General features: G+C 42.4%; 1 annotated feature.

Annotated features, from left to right (window-relative positions):
- Window positions 4,627–4,676: a silencer, noted in NCBI's record as "silent region_2627". NCBI's record gives its function as "represses an Ori minimal core promoter by ATAC-STARR-seq in GM12878 lymphoblastoid cells {active_cell/tissue: GM12878}" and the evidence as "EXISTENCE:reporter gene assay evidence [ECO:0000049][PMID:35858748]".

Below are 22,864 nucleotides of genomic sequence, written 5' to 3'. Positions count from 1 at the left end.
CCCAGAACTTTTTATATATACAAATACACACACATAGGGTTGTTTACAATAATGCAACTGCAGTACATGCTTTGCCCCATAGCTCCTTTGCTCTTTTCCCCCACTCAGTAATATATATTGTGGATATCTTTTTATATCAGTACATTTGATACCCATGGTTAATATCAGTAGTTTAAGTAGATACCTTATAAAAAGCTGTTTTAGGTGACTCGGCCTGTAATCCCAGCAGTTTGGGAGGCCAAGGCAGGTGGATCACCTGAGGTCAGGTGTTTGAGGCCAGGCCGGCCAACATGGTGAAACCTTGTCTCTACTAAAAATATAAAAAATTAGCCAGGTGTGGTGGCATACGCCTGTAATCCCAGCTACTTGGGAGGCTGAGGCAGGAGAATCGCTTGAACCTGGGAGGCGGAGGTTGAAGTGAGCTGAGATCGTGCCATTGCACTCCAGCCTGGGCAACAGAGTAAGACTGTCTCAAAAAAAAAAAAAAAAAAGTTGTTATAATTCTTTTTTTCTGATTCTAAAAGTAGTGCATATTTAAGGTAGAAAAACTTGGAAAACATACATAAGTATAAAGAAAAAAAACACAAAGCACCCACAATTCCAGCCCTTTGAAGTACCTGTTGTTTCCCATTTGGTCTGTTTCCTGGAAGAATAACTTGGTATAAAAAGGCCCTGAGAGGCAGGAAGTTCCCACAGTCATGGTAATGATAGCCATTATTAAGTGAGCACTAATCTGGAGCTTGGTGCTGGTGCATCCATGACCTTCAGTCTTAACTGCAACCTTGCAATGAAGCATGGACTGGGAGGCAGGTGCAGAGCCTCTGGGATTCATCCATCCCTGACACTACAGCACTGATGGTTCCCACTTCCTGAGGACCCTGCTTGCAAGACAGGTCACTGCCCTGACTATTCTCCCAACCCTTTTGCTGATGTTCTGCTCCTCCCCAGAACATTTCAAAAATTCTTCAACAGCTTGATATTTGAAGTCCTATTGACTGTCCCATCTCCCTCCTTCACCTCCCCAGCCCACTGGACTGTAAGCTCCATGAGATCAGGGGCCGTATCCAGTGTGCCTGTGCTGTGCCAACCCCTTAACAGCCTTCAGTAAATGCTTGTCGAATAAATGTATCCACCAAGCCACAAGCTGGTCTGCATACGCTCCCACCTCACAGCGCCTTTTTTCATCGTCACATTGTGTCTGTGGACACTGTGTTTAGGGAGTGCTTCAAAGCTCATCTCCAAGCCTTTCCTGGCAGGCTCACCTCCCTCTACTGAAACCAGCCCTCATCTCTTTACATTTTGATTGTCTCAACCATTCACCAGATGATCTGCTGTTCACAGTCTCATCCACAACATTTACTTTATTTATTTATTTGTTTGTTTTTATAAAACTGACCCAAGGGAGACTGCTTTGGTTGGTTGTATTGCTTTAGTATCAAATTAGAAGTTAGGAGGTTCCCTGTGATCTGGGGCTGCCACATTTTCTCTAGATCTTAGTTCCCTCTTCTGTAAGTGAAGGGATTGCACTACAGTCACTCTGTGTTTTTTTTTTTTTTTTCCCAAGTGCCAAGTTTTATGATTCTGGGACTTTGATGTGTGAAAGGAAAATAAATCTTGGGACCCCCAAATCACTAAGCAAAAGGGGAAAGTCAAGCTGGGAACTGGTTAAGGCAAACTTGCCTCCCATTCTATTCAAAGTCATCCCTGGGAGGCTCACCTGAGATAATGCATATATAATTGCTTCCTCTCCCCTATTGCTTATGTAAAAATGCAGATTCACTGAGGCAGACTCAATTGTATATTCAGTGGAAGGCTGATCAAAGACGTAAAAGAATGTAACCTTTTGTCTCTAATCTACTTCTAACCTTGAAGCCCCCACTTCAAGTTGTCCCACCTTACTGGAGGACAGAACTAGTGTACATTTTACACGTTGAGGCTGTGTCATGGGCGTGTCCTTAACCTTGCCAAAATAAACTTTTAAATTGACTGAGACCTGTCTCAGATATTTGAGGTTCACAGATGTCTACTTCTATTCATTCCTGTAAACTTTCACTTTGATAAGAAGCCTCACTTCCTGAAAAAAATTTCATAAACCTGAATTCCGGGCTTCAATTTTTAAACTATGAAATTAGAAAATACAAGTAGTCTTCATTTAATTAGAGCTGATTTTCAAGAATAATTCCTGAGTTTGCCAATTATTCTTTCTTGTTCCGGGTTGCAGTTGGAATTTATAGACAGGGTGCTACTTCTAAATGACAGTAAGAGCTGGTGGTGCCTCCCTCTTCCATCACTTTTCTCCAAAAAGTTCTGGTGTCTGGTGCAAGAGGAAATGGCCCTAGTGCTGATGCTAAGGCTACTATGGTTATCAAAATAGTTGACATCTTTGAGATTCCTAAAGCTCTTAGAGGTCCAATTTCTACAGCTTTTTTTATTTCTTTTCCTCCCACTCATCACCCACAATTCCAATTATACGAAGCCTAATGTTCCTTTCCATTGAAGGCCTTGCCTCTCATCTTCTCCCAACTAGGGCAGTCCCTTAAACTTTTCTATGAAACTCCAGTGTGTTTAATTTCGGTTCCTATGTGTTCTATTTCTGGAAGTTCTATTTGGTTCTTTTCCATATCTGCTAGATTTTTTAGAGCCTATTTTTCCTTCAAATATGTTCAAGTTTGTAATTTACATAATAAAAAGCTTATTTACAATATGTCCCTGATAATTCCACTTCCAGAAGTAGGTGTGGGTTTGTTTCTGTTATCTGTTGTTTCTCTTGATTTTTACTCCTGTTACATTCCTTGTGTTGGCCACAATCTTAAGGCATAAAAATGCTTTCAAATGACACACAGAAACAAAATTCTCCAGTCATTTCTAAGACCCAGTAGTTTGCAGTCATCTTGAAACAAGAAAGAGAGATATGTTTTGGAAATACGTATGTAAGGATCATCGTCAAGACCTATTGGAGTTCAATCTACTAAACTTTTGATCTCATCTCTTTGTAGAGCTGGCTTCTGCTCCTCATGCTTAACTGAGGCAGAAGAATAGGGTCTGGAGGCAGGGAACATAAGGCTGATTCATGCTGACTTCCTAGAACTAAATCAAATAGAAACATATATCCTCTCCATTTACATAGGGCATACACTGAGTAAATGACTTTGTAACTTTATTTCATCCTCTTCACTTACATAGGGCTTACACCAAGTAACCAGTGGAAACCTCTAGAGGGTATTTAATCCCCAGAAAATTCTGTAACAGGGCTCTTGAGCCCCTATGCTCAGGCCCACTCCCATACTGTGGAGTTTACTTTCATTTTCAATAAATCTCTGCTTTTGTTGCTTTGTTCTTTCCTTGCTTTGTGTGTTTTGTCCAATTCTTTGTTCAAGACACCAAGAACCTGGACACCCTCCACAGGTAACCATAATTCACATAACCATAACTCATCCCTTGCCCTCAGGCTTACATAGTTGTATGTGATGTTTGCAAAGGTTGTCACATCTATTACTACTGCAATTCTCCCTGCAGTCCTATGAGATAGACAGAACTGGAGGTTTTTATCCCCATTTTCCAGACAAGGAAATAGTTATAATGGGTCAAGTGTCTTGCTCAAAGTCAGAGGGATAAAGGATGGGGAGGGAGATACCAGCTCCCTGTGCCTGCACCTCTGCTTCCATGCAGCCTCTCTTGATGGGCAGTTAGAATCCACTAGTGCCCATGATTACAGGCAGCTGACTTCCCAAACCGCTGTAGTATTTCTGAGCAAGAGGCAGTTTTTCTCAACAACTGTGTTGGAAAACATGAGATTACAAGAATGAGCCACTCCTTGCTTGGTCAATTGAACTGTCTAGAAGATGACAGCTCCTCCTGCCAGGCCGTCAACACTTTCAGTGAGGCCAGGGTTCTCAGGCACAGGCAGCCAGAAGCTCCTGTGATTTGTGTCGTGTCCCCCATGTGAGAGGAGGAGAATCATCCAGGAGAGATGGTGGGAGGAGGAACAGACCTCATTAACAGGAGCTGTTGGCTTCAGACCTACTGGGGCCAAAAGCCCCTAGAGAAATGTTGCACCTACTTGCAGAAATCTTTACAGCAGGAAGCCAGAGAGACAGACCACTGAGGCGGGGTCCTAGAAATGCCTGCAATAGCCTGAAAGTTGACATGTTTGAACCCTTCCCTGGAAGGCAGGAGATAGGGGACAGTAAACATCATTTTCAAAGCTTTCCTGGCCTCTCTATAAGGTTGGTGGCTGCTGGAATATAAAGAATGAAAGATAAAATGGGCCAGGCATTTTTTTCACTGAAGAAATCTGATAGGGATATAAGAGAAAGGTACTCTTCCTAGAGCTGCAAGAAGCTCTTGAATCCCACGAAAGGGTGTCTGATGCCAAATACAGACAGAACTGGTTCACATGTCAGTGCTTCATTGACTGGCTGGGTGACCTTGGGCAAATTGTTTCAGTTCTTTGAGTTTCAGTTTCTCCATTAGCAAAATGAGGATAATAACCATAACACCCACGTTGTGGTGAAGGTTTAGAGAGAACGAAATGACCTAAAATCCATTCAGTGTATGACAGCTAATAGTGCTACCTGTCATTTTATAGAAAGAGGAACTGAAATCCAGACAGTCAATATAAGGTGCCCAAGGCCATCCAGGAAGGACTGGCTGATGAGCAGTCAGGAGATAATGTGGATTTTCTTGTTTTAATTTCTCAGGGATTCAGTTTCCTCATCTATAAAATGGGAATAATATATATTCTCGATACCTTATCTGAAACACTTGGAGCCAGGTTTTCAAATTCTAGAAGGAACAGTCTGAATACCATACCTCTAGCAGGGTTTAGGGCAGTACCCAGTAATCAAACACATTACCATTTCTGCAGCAAAATGTCAGAGTATTTATATTAGGCGGGAAAAATAAAGACTATATATAGCTTCATGTTGGTTCAGGTTAGATTTCGCTACAAGAAGAATTTGGGTTTTTAGAGCTTTGGAATTTCAGATTGTGGACCTGTGATACCTACTTCAAGTTGTTTGGAGGATTCTACACCAAGTGACCAGTATGGCGGGGAGTGGGACTCATGTTAAAGTTTACTATTATTATCAGCTAGTCTAGTGATTTGACACAGGGCTAAAAGCTGCTAAGTCACCAAGACTATCTAGGCAGGATGCTACATCTCAGAAAGCCTCAAGAGGATGTCTACTGTATGTACTTTGAGTATACCACGCCCTTCCTGCAGGGCTGGGGAAGAGATGAGAAGGGACAATTTTCTGTGAAGACGTCCCATACTATCAGGCTGAACCATGAGCACTTGAAGCGCTCCCCTAAAGTACCACTGGGGTCCTATTGGGCAGGTCCTGGTTCTGGAGCCTCTGGAAACTGGGCTGAAGGTCATTTCAATTGGGGAACAAGAAGATGATGCTCTAAACCAGGGGTTGGCGCCTCAGAGACCTGGAAAGTAATATAAAGGAACAAAGGGGCCCAGATGTGGCCTATGGCAAGTGGAAAAACACCTGCCCATCCCAAAGGGCAGATGACACCAACTTAAAGTTGTTGGTTGCCATATAATAATTTAAGCCTTGTACTGACTAATATTTTGATTTTTAAAGAGACGTTAACATCTGAAATACGTGAAATGTCCTGACTTTTACCTATTGGCTACTCATATTTTTAAATGCTGTGCAAACCCAACAAAACACATCTGTAGACCTCCGATCTAAATAATTGTAGTGAGTGTAATTTAATTGAAAGCTTACTACGTGTCCGGCAGTGCCCTACAAGTGCTACATGTGTTACATTTAGTGGTACAACAACCCTATGAAGGAGGAACTGTTATTGGTGTTTTACAAAGCAGGAAAACTGAAACTCAGATGACATTAGATATAAAATGGTTACTGTCCTACAGGTCAGTAAAACTGATCTTTGCACTCTCATTTCTACAAATAGAAATAATTTACATCTCTACTAGAAACATCCACAAGCAACTTGTCGATCTTCTACAAGTGAATGCCCAACGTTACAGAGTCTGAACGTTAAGCAATAATGTCTTAGCTCAGGCTGCCGCAACAAAGTACCAAGACTAGGTGGTTTAAAATATATAAATTAACTTGTTCACAGTTGTAGAGGCTTGACATCCAAGATCCAGGTTCTGGCTGGTTTGGCTTCTGGTGAGAGCCCTCTTTGTGGCTTGCAGAGGGCCACCTTCTCACAGTGTCCTCACCTGGCCTTTCTTCAGTGTGTTCAAGCTGGTGTCTCTTATAAGGACACTAATCCTATCACATCAGAGTCTCACTCTTATGACCTCATCTAATCTTAATTGCTTTCTTAGACACCCCATCTCTAAATACAGCCACACTGGGGGTTAAGGCTTCAATATACAAATTTGAGGAGGGACACAAACATTCAGTTCATATAAATAGTAAAGAGTAAGTGAAGCAAAATAATAATTCCAAGAGCACAAGATGATCTCTAAGTGAGCTTCTTGGACAGTTCTCTAGTATGTCATTGAAACAAGGACACACAACAATGTCTTTGCTTTATTTCCAAATTTTGGATAATTTTTCTGAATAAGTACTTGGAAAGCAAATTTTATTAAGCTATCACTTGACAACTCAGGAAAGCTGAAAGCCTGTCTTGTTCACATGAAAATAAGCTCAGCAGTGACAATTGTCAAAGAAACACCAGCAAAACTTTTCCACTGATTTTCCTTTAAAAAATATTTTTCATATCAGTGATAAAACATTTTTGCCGTTATAGGCCAGGCACGGTGGCTCACGGCTATAATCCCAGGACTTTGGGAGGCTGAGGCAGGTGGATCACGAGGTCAGGAGATGAAGACCATCCTGGCTAACATGATTAAATGCCATCTCTACTAAAAATACAAAAAATTAGCTGGGCGTGGTGGCATGCACCTGTAGTCCCAGCTACTCAGGAGGCTAAGGCAGGAGAATCGCTTGAACTCGGGAGGCTAAGGCAGGTGGAGGTTGCAGTGAGCCAAGATAGTGCCGCTGCACTCCAGCCTGGGCGACAGAGTGAGACTCCATATCAAAAAAAAAAATTGTCACTATAATAGGACGACAAATGATTTTCAGTTTCAGGGGACTGAAGAATCTAGTCTTCCCCTAAGATCCCAGGATAGGTTCACAAAGTGTGACTATCTGAAATTGAAGGAAGGAGAGTGACAAACGTAGATGAGATAGGCTGGGCGCGGTGGCTCATGCCTGTAATCCCAGCACTTTGGGAGGCTGAGGCAGGCAGATCATGAGGTCAGGAGATCGAGACCATCCTGGTTAACACGGTGAAACCCTGTCTCTACTAAAAATATAAAAAATTAGCTGGGCATGGTGGCAGGTGCCTGTAGTCCCAGCTACTCGGGAGGCTGAGGCAGGAGAATGGCGGGGAGGCGGAGCTTGCAGTGAGTGAGGCAAGATCAGGCCACTGCACTCCAGCCTGGGCAACAGAATGAAACTCCGTCTCAAAAAAAAAAAAATGTAGATGAGATAATCTATCCCTCCCTCACCCCGTCAAGACTGTGAGCTCAATAAGGACAGGAACTGTCCTCACTGATTTCCAATCAGTGAGCCATTTCCATATTCACTAACTGAACTCCTACATGGTGGAAGCTCAATAAATGTTTGATAGAGGGATGGAAGAAGGGAGGGATAGATGAAGGGAGAGATGGATAAATGGATGGATGAATGGATGGTAATTAATTGAATGAGTGCTTAGGGTGGCTCTTGACTCAGTTTTCCTCTGCTATAAGGACACAGTAGGAACATTTTCTGGGTTTGCCAAGCATAGCTTGGACAGTTTGGGGAATTTGGATTCAGTTATTGTCCTCATAATTTTCATGAATTTAGCTTCTCTTTCAGTGGTTACATTTTCATTGGTGTTCCCTTTTTATAACTTTTTTTTTTTTTTTTAGAGGCATCATCTTGCTATATTGCCCAGTCTGGACTCAAACTCCTGGGCTAAAGAGATCCTCCCATCTCAGCCTCCCAAGTAGCTGGGACTACAGGCATGTGCCACTGCACCCAGCGATGCTTCCATTTTAGGCTCACTGTAGGCCTCTTGCTAAGATTTGCGCAGTCCCCTAGCATTTCTTAAGAACATATCACTGTGTCAGGCATTGTGCTATGGCCTCTTAAATATGTGATTCTATTTAATCCTCCCAATAACTCTGTGAGGTAGATGCTATTGATCCCATTTTAAAGACATGAAAATTGGTACCCACAGCTAGTAAATGGAGATCAGACTCAGGGGCTGGGTGCGGTGGCTCATGCCTGTAATCCCAGCACTTTGGGAGGCCTAGGTTGGCAGATCACTTGTGGCCAGGAGTTCAAGACCATCCTGGCCAACATAGTGAAACCCCATCTCTACTAAAAATACAAAAATTAGTTGAGCATGGTGGCATGCACTTGTAATCCCAGCTACTCGGGAGGCTGAGAGAGGAGAATCGCTCTTGAACCTGGGAGGTGGAAGTTGCAGTGAGCCAAGATTGAGCCACTGCACTCCAGCCTGGGTGACAGAGTGAGATTCTGTCTCAAAAAAAAAAAGGAAGAAAGAAAAAGAAAAAGAAATCAGACTCAAGCTTTCTTACTCTAAGTCTGATGTACTTTCTATTACTTAGCAGTTTGGGTGCTACAAATATTTCCTGAGAAGACTGCAACAGTTTTATAATTTGCATGAATTTATATTTATAAAATTATAATTATAAAATTAATAATTAACTATTATTAATTAAATGAATATTTGCTAAGCATTGAATATCATATTGCCAGGCCCTAGGGATAAAACAATGAACATGATTAACAGAGTTCCTGTCCTTATTGAGCTTACAGTCTTGATGGGTGAGGGAGGAATAGATTGTCTCATCTACTTTTGTCACTCTCCTTCCTTCAATTTCAGATAGTCACATTTTATGAACCTATCCTGGGATCTTAGGGGAATACTGTAGATTCTTCAGTCCCCTGAAACTGAAATATGGGCAATTTTGCCAAGGAAGAAAAAGGGCAGGGTCATGACCAGAGCCCCTTAGACAACTGAGGATGCAATTTCCTAGTGGCATTGGTGTCAAGTGCCTCTAGTGCTGGACTAGGCCAGGATCCTCTATGCAAGAGAAAGGGACCTCCCAGGATATTTCCTTCCTAAACACAGACTGTCTTCCTGGGATCCACTGGAATTCTTTTTGCCTCATTGAAGGGCTCATTGGCAAATACTCTTCCTTGGATTTCAAAAAAAAAATGTGCTTTTCAAATTAGAGTCCAAGAAAAATAGGATTGCCTTTAATATTCATTTTTTTCTTGCTTCATTTCTCTAGCTATACACAGAATGACAGAGAGAAGAGCAACCACATCCATATAAATTCCATAGCTGGACCAAAACCTCAGGATTGGCTATCCCTCTCTATAAACAAGGAACAAACACCCAGGGATAGTAAAAAGCCAAAAGTCAAGACTGCGTTGTTATTTCCAATTAGTGAGCCATTTCCATATTCACTAACTGAACTCCCACATGGTGGGAGCTCAACAAATGTTTGATAGATGGACGGAAGAAGGGAGGGATAGATGAAAGGAGAGATGGATAAATGGATGGATGAATGGATGGGTAATTAATTGAACAAGTGCTTAGGGTGGCTCTTGACTCAGTTTTCCTCTGCTATAGGGACAAAGTGGGAACATTTTCTGGGTTTGCCAAGCATAGCGTGGGCAGTTTGAGGAATTTGGATTCAATACCAAGAAAGTATCCAGAGGCTTGTCAATGCCCTCCAAAGGGCAGAAGGAAATTGAGCTTGTTGTAGCTGGTCTTATCACTGGGATGAACACACATGAGTGTGCCCTGACTCATGCTCATGAGTTCAGCATCCTTTGAGCTACTTTTATTCTTTATTTTGTATCCATGACACTATTTCCACAATCCTGAATAACTGGGCTTACTTGATTATATTTAGTACACATCTTCTCTGGAGGTTTTGTTGCCATATTATTGTTCTCATTAGCCTGTTGATGTCATAGAATAAAAACACTACATTCTGAAAAGGACAGTGTGTTTTATTACATGAAGGAAAGAAAGAGTCATAATTGGTTTTGATTGTTAAACACTAAGAACAGGCTCCGTCATCGCTATTTAAACTCACTGAAATGAGAAAATGATGTTCCAGCTTTGAATGAATAATCTATATTGCTTAAGTAGAGTAATTATAAAGGGATAAGTGGAGAAAAATGGAAGGAAAAATAAAGGCCATGATGCAGCAAGACTGAGGAGCCACAGCTCTGGTCCTCAACTAGCCACGTGTTCTTGAGCAAGTCAGTTGGCCCCTGAGACTCATCTCTCCGTCTGCAAAACAAGGGATCTCTTCCTACTTCAGGACATTGCTTTTCTTATCAGAACCTATTTACTAGCATTATGGGTTTTTCAAAGGAAAACTTTATTTTATTTTATTTATTTATTTTTTTAGATGGAGTCTTGCTCTGTCACCCAGGCTGGAGTGCAGTGGTGTGATCTCGGCTCACTTCAACCTCCACCTCCTGGGTTCAAGTGATTCTTCTGCCTCAGCCTCCCGAGTAGCTGGGACTACAGGTGCGTGCCACCGTGCCTGGCTAATTTTTGTATTATTAGTAGAGATGGGGTTTCACCATATTGGATAGGCTGGTCTCGAACACCTGACCTCATGATCCGCCCATCTCAGCCTCCCAAAGTGCTGGGATTACAGGTGTGAGCCACCGTGCCTGGCCAGAAAATTTTAAAAGATCCTTTTTCAGGTAAAGATTAGCCTTATTTTTCCTCTTCTTTTGACTTTGAAATGCCTTTCTTTCAGCCCCAAGCCATCTTTTCTATTTCAGTTTCTTCTATGTTGTTTTTCTTGCTGTCTCTGACTTTGTCTTTTCTTCCTCTTGACATGTTCTCCTGGGCATTCCTGCTGCTTACTGCAATGTCAATCTCAGAGAACACAGAGCTGCGAGAGTTGTGAAATCTTAGAGTCAGAATAGATAAATAACATGTCCATGGAAAAGGTACTTGAGGTATTTGCCTTTGAGGTAACTGTCATTAGCCAGGTTTCACATGGGCACTTTCTAATATTTGAGTTTTTAAAATGAAATCTTTATGAGAATGCTTTTGACCTAGCAATTTCCCCCTAGGAATGTATTTACACAACAGTACAAGGCTATAGGTTCAGAATGCCTTCTTAGCATTGCTTGGAAGAGTCAAATGCACCTAACCTACAAGCTCTGTGATGGTTAGACAAATCATGGCACAGCCAGGCAATCCATGGCCTGTCTCAGCTCTGTGACCTGTGATAGCTCACCTATTCTGAGGGTTGTTTCCAGGACATTGAGAAACTTGGACACCTTATTCAAACCCCCTTAAGGATACTAAAAACTGTAACAACTTCCTTTGTATATGGCAGAAGCATGAGCATCCTTTTTTAGGTACAATGAGACCCTCTCATCCACGGGGGAGACGTTCCAAGACCTGTGGTAGAGGCCTAAAACTATGATAGTACTGAGCCCTATATATACCATGTTTTTCCTATACATACATACCTATGATAAAGTTTAATTTATAAATTAGACATGGTGAGAGATTAACAACAATAAATAATAATGGAATAGAATAATTATAAAAATACACTGTAATAAAAGTTATGTGAATGTGGCATGACTTTCTCCCCTCTATCCCTAAATACCTTAATATTTTTGGACTGTGGTTGACCACTAGCAACTGAAACCATGGATAAGGGGTAACTACTGTATTAGTAGGTAAAGGCCCTAACGTTCAACTCATTTTTCTTTTTCCTTTGAGACGGAGTCTCGCTCTGTCACCCAGGCTGGAGTGCAGTGGCGGAATCTTGGCTCACTGCAAACTCCGCCTCCGGGTTCACGCCTCAGCCTCCCAGGTAGCTGAGATTACAGGCGCCTGCCACATGCCCGGCTAATTTTTATTTTTATTTTTATTTTTTATTTTTAGTAGAGACAGGGTTTCACCGTGTCAGCCAGGATGGTCTTGATCTCCTGACCTCGTGATCTGCCCCCCTCGGCCTCCCAAAGTGCTGGGATTACAGGCGTAAGCCACCGTGCCCGGCCCTCAACTCACTTTTCTAAGTAAGTGTTTATGCCTATAAGCTTCTCCTTGAGGTGAAAGATTTAGTGCTTCTTGATCATAAATGCAGTCTATTGTCCAGACATTTACTGAGCTGTAACCAGGAGTACTGGGTGCTGAGGCTGGAGAGATTTCCAAGATTTGAAAGGTACACAGAGACCCAAACAGGAAATTCTAGTGCAATGTGGTGCATGGTGAGAAAGAAAGAACCTCATGGGGCTATGGAAATGTTTATGGGGGTAGAAGGACACCTATTCTGGGCTGGCAGGAGACAGTTGGGGATAGGTGGCAGCCAGGAAAGTTTCCCTAGAGATGACCCAGAGCTTAGGCTAATTAGAGAGCCTCGCCTTTCTGACGCCCTTCATAGGTGGGAACTGTCCAAACTGCATCACTCTGCATCCTAGAAGTCTGCATATGACTCCTATCTCTGCCACGACTTTTCTCTTTCCACTTTTTCTCTTCAGACTCAATAGGCATTCAGCCTGTTCCACCTGGTCCCTTCCTGCTTCCCACTTTCCAAGGGCAATATGGTACAGTGGACAGGCAGTCAGCATTGATTGTGAGACTTGAGCCTCAGTTTTCACATCTGTGAGATGGCACTACTCATAGTACTTTTCTTATTAAAAAAGTATTTTTTGTGCTAACAAAAAGCTAGCGCAGATGGCATATTATGGACCAACACTATGGTCAGCTCTTTACATACAAATTATCGCTTCCTTTCATTTTCACAACAACCCAGTGAAGTAGTTCAATATTATCTCCATTTTACATACCTGGGAAATGACCACAGAATGCTCAAGCAACTTGCCAAGGGTACCAGCTGGTCATGCCCTTATTTCAACATCTTGTTTCAAGGATTAGGTAAGACAATGAGTATAAATGCTTAGCAGGGTGCTGGCACACAGCAAGCACTCCATAAATGATCATTATTGTGGTCGAGTATAAACTCTAGTGCAGAGACTCGACTGCTTTGGTCTTGTTTTATCCCTGGCACCCTGAACTATACCTGACGCATAGTAGGTGCTCAAAATATATGGGTTAATTATTCAAGAGTTCTTGCTCCTGCTTTTTTGTGTTTTTTGTTTGTTTGTTTTTGTTTTTGTTTTGTTTTGTTTTTGTTTTTTGAGACAGAGTCTCGCTCTGTCACCAGGCTGGAATGCAGTGATGCGATCTTGGCTCACTGCAATCTCTGCCTCCCGGATTCAAACCACTCTCCTGCCTCAACCTCCCAAGAAGCTGAGATTTACAGGCATGTGCCACCACACCCAGCTAATTTTTGTATTTTTAGTAGAGATGGGTTTTTACCATGTTGGCCAGGATGGTCTCAATCTCCTGACCTTGTGATCTGCCCACCTCGGCCTCCCAAAGTGCTGGGGTTACAGGCATGAGCCACCGCACCCGGCCTGCTTTTTTGTTTTATTCGATGCTTCGTTTTGTTTTTTTTCCTGCTCCAGACTAGTTTCTTCTCTCTCAGCACCTGTTGATGTGGGGTCCCTGAAACCTTAAGGACAAGACTGAGATCATATGTGCAAATCACCAATATGGTTTGGCCTTGGGTGGTTTGTCCAACTGCCTCCATTTTAGTTTTTGCCAAGATGTTTAAGAATATCCTAAGCAACGGCACCTAAGGGAAATGGTGAATTCAAAGATATTGAAGCTATTTTGAAGCCCAGTGGTGGAGAAAGGTGAGTTCTGAATTTACACTACCTAGATTCCAATCTTGGCTTTGCCACTTTCTAGCTCAAACAAGTTACTTAACTTTTCTAAGGCTCAGTTTTCTCATTCTTAAAACGCAGATAATGATAGTATCTATTGCCTGCCTTGGTGGAAGGACTAAACAGGACAACACAATTTAGATGTTCAGTGTCTGTTTCAAAGAATGGAAGCTGTGCCCGGGAAAAGCACAAATCCAGAGGCTGCTTAAGATCTCAGGTTTGTTTTTTGTTTTTGTTTTGTTTTTTTTTTGAGATGGAGTCTCGCTCTGTCGCCCAGGCTGGAGTGCACTGGTGCGATCTCAGCTCACTGTAACCTCCACCTCCCAAATTCAAGCAATTCTAGTGCCTCAGCCACCCGAGTAGCTGAGATTACAAGCGCATACTACCATACTCAGCTAATTCTTGTATTTTTAGTAGAGATAGGGTTTCACCATGTTGGCCAGGCGGGTCTCAAACTCCTGACCTGAGGTGATCTGCCCTCCTCGACCTCCCAAAGTGCTGGGATTACAGGCGTGAGCCACCGTGCCCAGCCTCAGGTTTCTTTCTTTTTTTCTTTTTTTTGAGACAGAGTCTCGCTCTCTCAGGCTGGATTGCAGTGGTGTGATCTCGGTTCACTGAAATCTCTGCCTCCTGGGTTCAAGCAATTCCCATGCCTCAGCCTCCCGAGTAGCTGGGATTATAGGTGCCCGCCACCACGCCCGGCTAATTTTTGTATTTTTAGTAGAGATGGGGTTTCACCATGTTGGCCAAGCTGGTCTCAAACTCCTGACCTCAGTTGATCTGCCTGCCTCGGCCTCCCAAAGTACTGCGATTACAGGCGCGAGCCATTGTGCCCAGCCTCAGGTTTCTTTCTGTTATGATTTTCTTCTCATTCTTTCAAAGTTGAGACTGATCAAGAGAAGTCCTCTTGCTTTCGTGGGTTTATATTTGCAGCTTTGCAAATGAAGAAAAATGCTTTTATTATCATTATCAGATATTCTTTCTGCTAATAAAAATTATTTTATTTATTTATTTATTTATTTGAGACAGGGTCTCGCTGTGTTGCCCAGGCTGGAATGCAGTGGCACAATCTCAGCTCACTGCAGCCTCTGCCTCCTGGGCTCAAGCAATTCTCCTGCCCCAGCCTTCAGAGTAGCTGAAATTACAGGCATGCGCCACCACACCCAGCTAATTTTTGTATTTTTAGTAGAGACAGGGTTTCGCCATGTTGGCCAGGATGGTCTCGAACTCCTGGCCTCAACTGATTTGTCTGGCTCAGCCTCCCGAACTGTTAGGATTACAGGTGTGAACCACCATGCCTGGCCCAGAAATTATTTTAGCTAGTGGTATGCTGGCAAATGTTTAATAGGCTCTCTGGGGAAAAAAAAAAAAAAGCCCTTATTAGGAGCATTTGCTAATTTCCATAACGTAAATACTCCTACCATGGCTGATCTCAAGCTACTGAAATGAATGTCACTGAGTGTGGATTTTTCAAAGAAATGCGAACAACCAGCTTTGAGGTGGCTCCAATGATTTTGGATGCCATTTCATACAAAGATACTCAAGATACTTTTAAAAGCATTGATTACATCCCTCAGTTCTGCTTGACTTTTTCCTTGACATTATATGAAAAATGTAATATATTATGCACAAGAGGCAGTGCTCAGGCTGCTGGAGTCACATCTTGGCTCAAACATTTACTGGCTCTGGCACCTTGGATAAGTTATTTACTATCTCGCCTTTAGTTTCTTTATGTGCTAACTGGGACTAAAGAAGAACTTATCCCATATATGTACATGGATGTTGTGTAAAGTGCTTAGCCTATGCATAATATGTACAATGCAAAAATGCATCATACATGTTAGCTATTATTAGTACTATATTAGCCCAGAGAATTCTTGCTGCCAACCCAATAATTAATAGCTTGTCAGTATCATATTTAACTCTCATAATAGCCTTGTATTGAAGACCACCCTGTCCCATGGTTGAAAAACCCAAGGTCCAGTGTCATATTGGAGTTGTTGTGGCTATTCAGTGGAACACTTATCTTTCAATACTTGGTCCTAGGTTCAGAGTAATGTCCTAATCAAGCACATTGAAGAACATGAGTTTATTACAAAATTGAGTCTATCCTAAAACTCCATTCAAGTCTTCAAAGTTCTCAGAAAAGAATCAAGGACTACATAATTAGGCTGGGCGCGGTGGCTCACACCTGTAATCCCAGCAGTATGGCAGGCTGAGGCGGGTGGATCACCTGAGGTCAGGAGTTCAAGACCAGCCTGATCAACATGGTGAAACTCCGTCTTTGCTAAAAATATAAAAAAAGTTAGCCGGGCGTGGTGGTGCATGACTGTAATCCCAGCTACTCGGGAGGCTGAGGCAGGAGAATCGCTTGAATCCGGGAGGCAGAGGTTGCGGTGAGCCAAGATCGCGCCATTGCACTCCAGCCTGGGCAACAAGAGCGAAACTCCATCTCAAAAAAAAAAAGAAGAAGAAGGACCACATAATTTGCTATGTAGCAAGGCAGAAACCAAATTGAGAGGACTAAAACTGTTTTCTAGAAACTCAGGATGGAATTAACCTTGTCTTGATAACTCAGAGAATCACTATAATCCAGGAGCATACCAAGTTATAACACATGGATGGACTTAGCTCACCCTTCAGCCTTCTTCTCACAGACATTGAAGGAGAACCTTAGAGCTGGGTTTTCTTCCTGATTCTCAGCTGTGCTCTGCTTAGATGAAGTTGCCTAAGTAGTTCCAAATGGGGAAGTTCTTATTGTACTAAAAATCCAGAAAATAGATTTCTGGGAAACAGAGCACCTGGAAAGTGCTGGAATGTGCTTAATGTTCCTATTTAAATACTCGCTCCTTGCTGTTTTCTTTTTTATTATGGTTAAAAAAAAAACCCTAAAACACACCATTTTAACCATTTTGAAAGTATACAATTCAATGGCTTTTAGTACATTTATGATGTTGTATAGCTGTTATGTCACTACAATCTAATTCTAGAACATTTTTATCACCTGCAAAAGAAACCCTGTACCCATTAGCAGTCACTCCCCATTCCCCTTACCCTGAACCCCAGCAAACACTAATCTGCTTTTTGTCTCCATGGATTTTCCTTTTCTGAACATAACACATATTTGGAATCATACAATGAGTGGTCTTTGATGACTGGCTTCATTCACTTATCATGATGTTTCCAAGGTGCATCCATGTTGTAGCATGTATTAGTATTTCATTCTTTGTGACTCAAGACCATTTTGTTGTATGGGCACATCACGTTTTGTTTATCCACCCATCAGTTTGTAGATATATGGGTTGTTTACATATTTGGCTATTAGGAACAGTGAACATTCATGTACAAGTTTTTGTTTGATTATCTGTCCTGGATTCTTTTGGATATATTCCTAGGAGTAGAATTGCTGGGGCATATGGTATTTCTATGTTTAACTTACTGAACATATTTTCTTCTTTTCCAAGATAAATTTAGGGGAAAAGTTATCCTAGAATGAGAAAGTATGAGCTTTCGTATCAGAGAAACCTGACTGAATCCCAGGTCATTAACAAGCAGCCATTTGACTCTGTTAACCTTTCTCCTACATAGTTGATAGCAGAGTAATACCTTAACAACAATATTGCTAGTAAGCAAGTATATGTGTGATACTTTACTATATCTCAGACTCAGAAATAGAAGAGGAATTTCTTGGGTTTCTGGGAAGATGTTGCTTTACTCATTATGTCCCAGGCTCAAAAGAGAAGCAGTGCAAATGAGGTAATGTCGACATTAATAGTAGATTCTTGCCAGCTCCCAGCCCCCATCTGCTCATCAAATTAGGCCTTGCTTGACATCTTCCCTCTCCCCCAACACTTATTTTCCAGAATTCCCAGGGGATTCTGATCTCCATATACACAGCACTGAGTTTCTCATGATATTCTGTCTCTGTGAGGCACTATCCCCTCTCCCCACTATGTCATTGCTCTCCATAGGGCCCCTGCCGGTGGCCCCTTTGGGCAGAATGGAAGGGATGTGGGAAGACCTGCCCTCTCCCTGTTTGTTCAGTGTCACATTTTGTCCCTTGGACTCTGAGCCAACAGTGCTTGGGCACAAGTTCAAAAAGTATCATATAAACATAGCTCCTTCCCCACCCCAGTATTAGGGGACAGGGAGACAAAAACAGTGGTTCATGCCCTCCATTCTCCCCTCCCTCCCAGGTACTCCTGAGGCAGAGGTTGGTGGGAGGAACTCCACCATTTTCTCTCAATTAAGAACCAAACTGATGTGCACATCAATTCGTGCAAACAGTTCTTGGGGTAAGGGGGTGGAGAGCACCCAAATCCCCTCCCAGTGGTGTTGCAGCTTCAGCTCGGGTTGGACAAGAGCTTCCATAAGCATTATCTCAATCAATCCACAATCTTATGAGCCAGTTAGTATTATCTTATGAGCTAGTTAGTATTATCCTATCTCATAGTTTAAAAAAAGATTTCAGTATGAAATGTTCAGTATTAAAACAGAAGAGACTAGGCCGGGCACAGTGGCTCATGCCTGTAATCTCAGCACTAGGCCGAGGTGGGCGGATCACGAGGTCAAGAGATTGAGACCATCCTGGCCAACATGGTGAAACCCCGTCTCTACTAAAAATATGAAAATTAGCTGGGCGTGGTGGCAGGTGCCTGTAGTCCCAACTACTCAGGGGGCTAAAGCAGGAGAATCACTTGAACCCCGGAGGCGGAGGTTACAGTGAGCTGAGATTGCTCCATTGCACTCCAGCCTGGTGACAGAGCGAGACTCCATCTCAAAATAAAACAACAACAACAAAAAACAGAAGAGACTAAACCTGTTCAACAGGCAGCAAATTTAGTGCATTCCTGTCTGCCATCTTCAGCCAGGGATTTGGTTATCTTTTTTTGTTTTTTTTATGTTTTTGTATTTTTAATAAACATTTCTTCTGATTACAAAAATATGAGTTATGTATTTTTAAATTATTTTGACTATAATTTTTAATGTTGTAGAACTATTATTGGGTTTTTCTTTTTTATTTTATTATTATTATACTTAAAGTTTTAAGGTACATGTGCACAATGTGCAGGTTAGTTACATATGTATACATGTGCCATGCTGGTGTGCTGCACCCGTTAACTCGTCATTTAGCATTAGGTATATCTCCTAAAGCTATCCCTCCCCCCTCCCCTCACCCCGGATTTGGTTATCTTAAGGCACATAACTAGAATGCCTGGACACCTGCATGTAAACCTCCCTTTGTGGCTTCCTTTTTCCAGTGAATTGTTTAAGCATATCCCTGCTGATCCCCTATCTTTGCTGCCTATGGTCTTTTATGGCCCCTGATAGGATCCCAGACCACCCCCTGGTATGTAAAAGTTTTAGACAACTTAGGGTCTGTGAAAACAAGATGCCAATCTTGGCTCCCAAAAGACTAAGATAGAAGGAAGAGTCAGGGTCTGGCTTAGTTGTGTTGTTTACCCTGAATGGAAGGAAGAAAATGAGGTTCTGGAAAACATGGATGTAAAAAGCTTTCTATCTTGCCATCCATCATGGATAGAGAAGGGGATTTTTGAGATTTAGATAAACCTGGGCCAAAATGCTTGCCTGGTTTTATCCTTTCTTTCTTTCTTTTTTTTTTTTTTTTTTTTTTTGAGATGGAATCTCGCTCTGTCACCCAGGCTGGCGTGCAATGGCGTGATCTCAGCTCGCTGCAACCGCCTTCTCCCAGGTTCAAGCGATTCTCCTGCCTCAGCCTCCCAAGTAGCTGGGATTACAGGCACCTGCCACCATGCCCAGCTAATTTTTGTATTTGTAGGAGAGACAGGGTTTCACCATGTGGGTCAGGCTGGTCTCAAGTTCCTGACCTCAAGTGATCTGCCTGCCTTGGTCTCCCAAAGTGCTGGGATTGCAGGCATGAGCCATCACGCCCGGTCTATTCATCTTTTTAAAGGAGGCTCATTAGTCACAGGACGCCATAACTTCTAAGGGGCAGGTATTGGTGTCCAACCATAGATGAGGAAACAGAGGCTCAGAGAGGCAAGTTCACACAGCTGGGCCAAGCCAGGAACAGATCACCCCAAACCAAAAAGTTTGAATTTAGAGCCCTCACTTTAGGCCTGGAGGGTTATAAAGAAGGCTTTCCTCAAGCGCTAAAGCTGTGTGCTCGTAATGGCTGGAATTTCCCAGGGCCTGGGAAGAGAATTCCAGGGGATCCTGGACTTATATGAGAAATAATCATCTGTATTTTCACAAATCTCCAACTGAAATTTAGCATTTTCTTCTATTATGAATGTAGGCAACAAACCACAGGAATGTTAGCCATACCTGGGACTTTGTTAGCAATGGAAATCACTGATATTTTCATAGCATATCTCAAAATATCACTTACATTCATTGCTTTTTCCAAGTTAGGGTAGTTATTAAGCCTGTGCTGGATTTTATTATCTGCCTTAGTAAAGGAGCTGACATTTTTCTATATCATAATCAATTTTTTTTTTTTTTTTTTTGAGACGGAGTCTCACTCTGTCACCCAGGCTGGAGTGCAGTGGTGCAATCTCGGCTCACTGTAGCCACCTCCTCCCAGGTTCAAGTGATTCTCCTGCCTCAGCTTCCTTGGATTACAGGTGCCCACCACCACGCCAGGCTAATTTCTGTATTTTTAGTAGAGACGGGGTTTCACCATGTTGGCCAGGCTGGTCTTGAACTCCTGACCTCAAGTGATCCACCCACCTCGGTCTCCCAGTGTAAGCCACTGCACCTGGCCAATTTTTAAAAAACATATTGAAAGTCAGAAGTGGTGGCTCGTGCCTGTAATCCCAACACTTTGGGAGGCTGAGACTGGAGGTTTGCTTGAGGCCGGGAGTTTGAGACCAACCTGGGCAACAAAGTGAGACCCCCATCTCCACAAAAAATATAAAAATTAGCCAGGCATGGTGGTGTGTGCCTGTAGTCCCAACTACTCGGGAGCCTGAGGTGAGAGGATCACTTGAGCCCAGGAGTTCAAGGCTGCCATAAGCCATGACTGTGCCATTGCACTCTTGCTGGGTGACAGAGTGAGACCCTGTCTCAAAAAATATAGATAGATTATAGATCAATAGATAGATAACTGTATATCAATATAAATATTTTCCTTTGTAATTACATCGCATATAATTTCTGTAAATATACATTTATATAATATATACTATATATACACATATGTAATTTTATGTATTTTAAAACATTATTTGGCTCATCATTTGCAATAGCCAAAAGGTGGAAGCAACACAAGTATCTGTCAAGGGATAAATGGGTAAACAAAATGTGGTATATGCATACAATGGAATATTACTCATCCTTAAAAAGGAAGAAAATTCCAACACATGCTACAACATTCATGAACCTTGAGGACGAGATGCCAAGTGAAGTAGGCCAGTCGCAAAAGGATAAAGACTGCATAATTCCACTGAAATGAGGTGTCCAGAGTAGTCAAATTCATAGAGACAGGAAGTACAATGGTGGTTCCCAGGGGCTAGAAGGTAGGGAGAATGGGGAGTTATTGTTTAATGGGTACAGAGTTTCAATTTTGCAAGATAAAAATAATTCTGTGGATGGATGGTGGTGAAGGTAGCAAAACAGTCTGAATGTACTTAATGCCACTGAACTGTATGCTTAAAAATAGTTAAGATGGTACATTTTATGTTATTTGTATTTACTACAATTTTAAAAACAGGACTATTTTTTGGCAAAGGGATCCACAGACTTCGTGAGACTGCCAAAGGGGTCTGTGGCATGAAAAAAAAAAAAGGTTAAGAATGATGCTCTTACAACGATAATGAAAATTATACATTTAATGATACAAGAGGATCCACCTCCCCATCTCCCATACTCTAGCCACAAAAATTCCATGGTTCCATGCTACTTGTAAAATGAAAGGAGTCAGGGGACACACTTTTATCATTTAGTAGCGGGGTACCTTGCGCAAGCCACATAAACCTCTTTGAGCTCCCGTCGTTTCAAAATGGAGGTGTTATCCCTGCCCCTCCTCCCTCATGGGGCTGTTGGGAAGCTCAGGGGAGGCAGCAGCAGCTGTGACCATCCTCAATGTCTTTGGTCCTTGCCCCTCCTCACTGACCCCTCTCGCCTTCGTGAAATGCCTCCTCTCCTCAGGCTGCAGAACACTTTCTGCGTCCTGCCCTTGCAAGAAGGCTTTTTTGACCGTTCTGGTTGAAGCCAGGGCTCAAAAGTCCACCTTCATTTAGTGGGTGATCTCTCACGGTCGATAGACTCCTCCCTGGACCAGCAACCAAGAGCAAGGGCTTTGTAGTTATACTAAGAGCAAGGGCTTTATAGTATAGAGTCTGGATATCAATCTTGGCTTCAGCACTGACCAGAAGCTGTGTGTCCTGAATGGAGAGCAAGCTCCTTAACCTCCCTGAGCCTCAATTTCTTCATCTATAAAATGGCCTGATAATAGCTATGTAATTATAATTGTCACAATACAGTGAGATCATGAACAGCACATAGTAGATATTTAATCAGTGGGATTCAGTACTTTTATTATTATAGTTGTTATTCTTGGACAATAAACACCTTCAGGCAATGGATGGAAAATCTGTATGCCCTACAAAAACTTAGACATACTAATAATTACAAAGCTCACAGGCACATCATAAATACTGGACACATGGATGAAGACAGGGAAATATAGTTGACTAATTACTGGTCCTAGATTATCACTATCAGAGTCCACAAGCACCCTGCCGAGTGAATTACGCAGGTATTATGATTCTCCTTTCTCTGAGGCCACAGCCTACTGTTCTAACAGCCTGTTCAGGACTCAGCCTCTCCGAGTTCGAACGTGGATTAATTTTCTTTTTCTTTTCTTTCTTTTTTTTTTTTTTTTGAGGCAGAATCACGCTCTGTTGCCCAAGCTGGAGTGCAGTGGCGCCATCTTGGCTCACTGCAAGCTCCGCCTCCTGGGTTCACGCCATTCTCTTGCCTCAGCCTCCCGAGTAGCTGGGACTACAGGCGCCCGCCACTGCGCCCGGCTAATTTTTTGTATTTTTAGTAGAGGCGGGGTTTCACCGTGTTAACCAGGG

This window comes from Homo sapiens, chromosome 10 (genome assembly GCF_000001405.40).
Source record: "Homo sapiens chromosome 10, GRCh38.p14 Primary Assembly".
Taxonomy (NCBI): Eukaryota; Metazoa; Chordata; class Mammalia; order Primates; family Hominidae; genus Homo; species Homo sapiens.
This window is presented reverse-complemented; position numbering and strand designations above follow the sequence as displayed.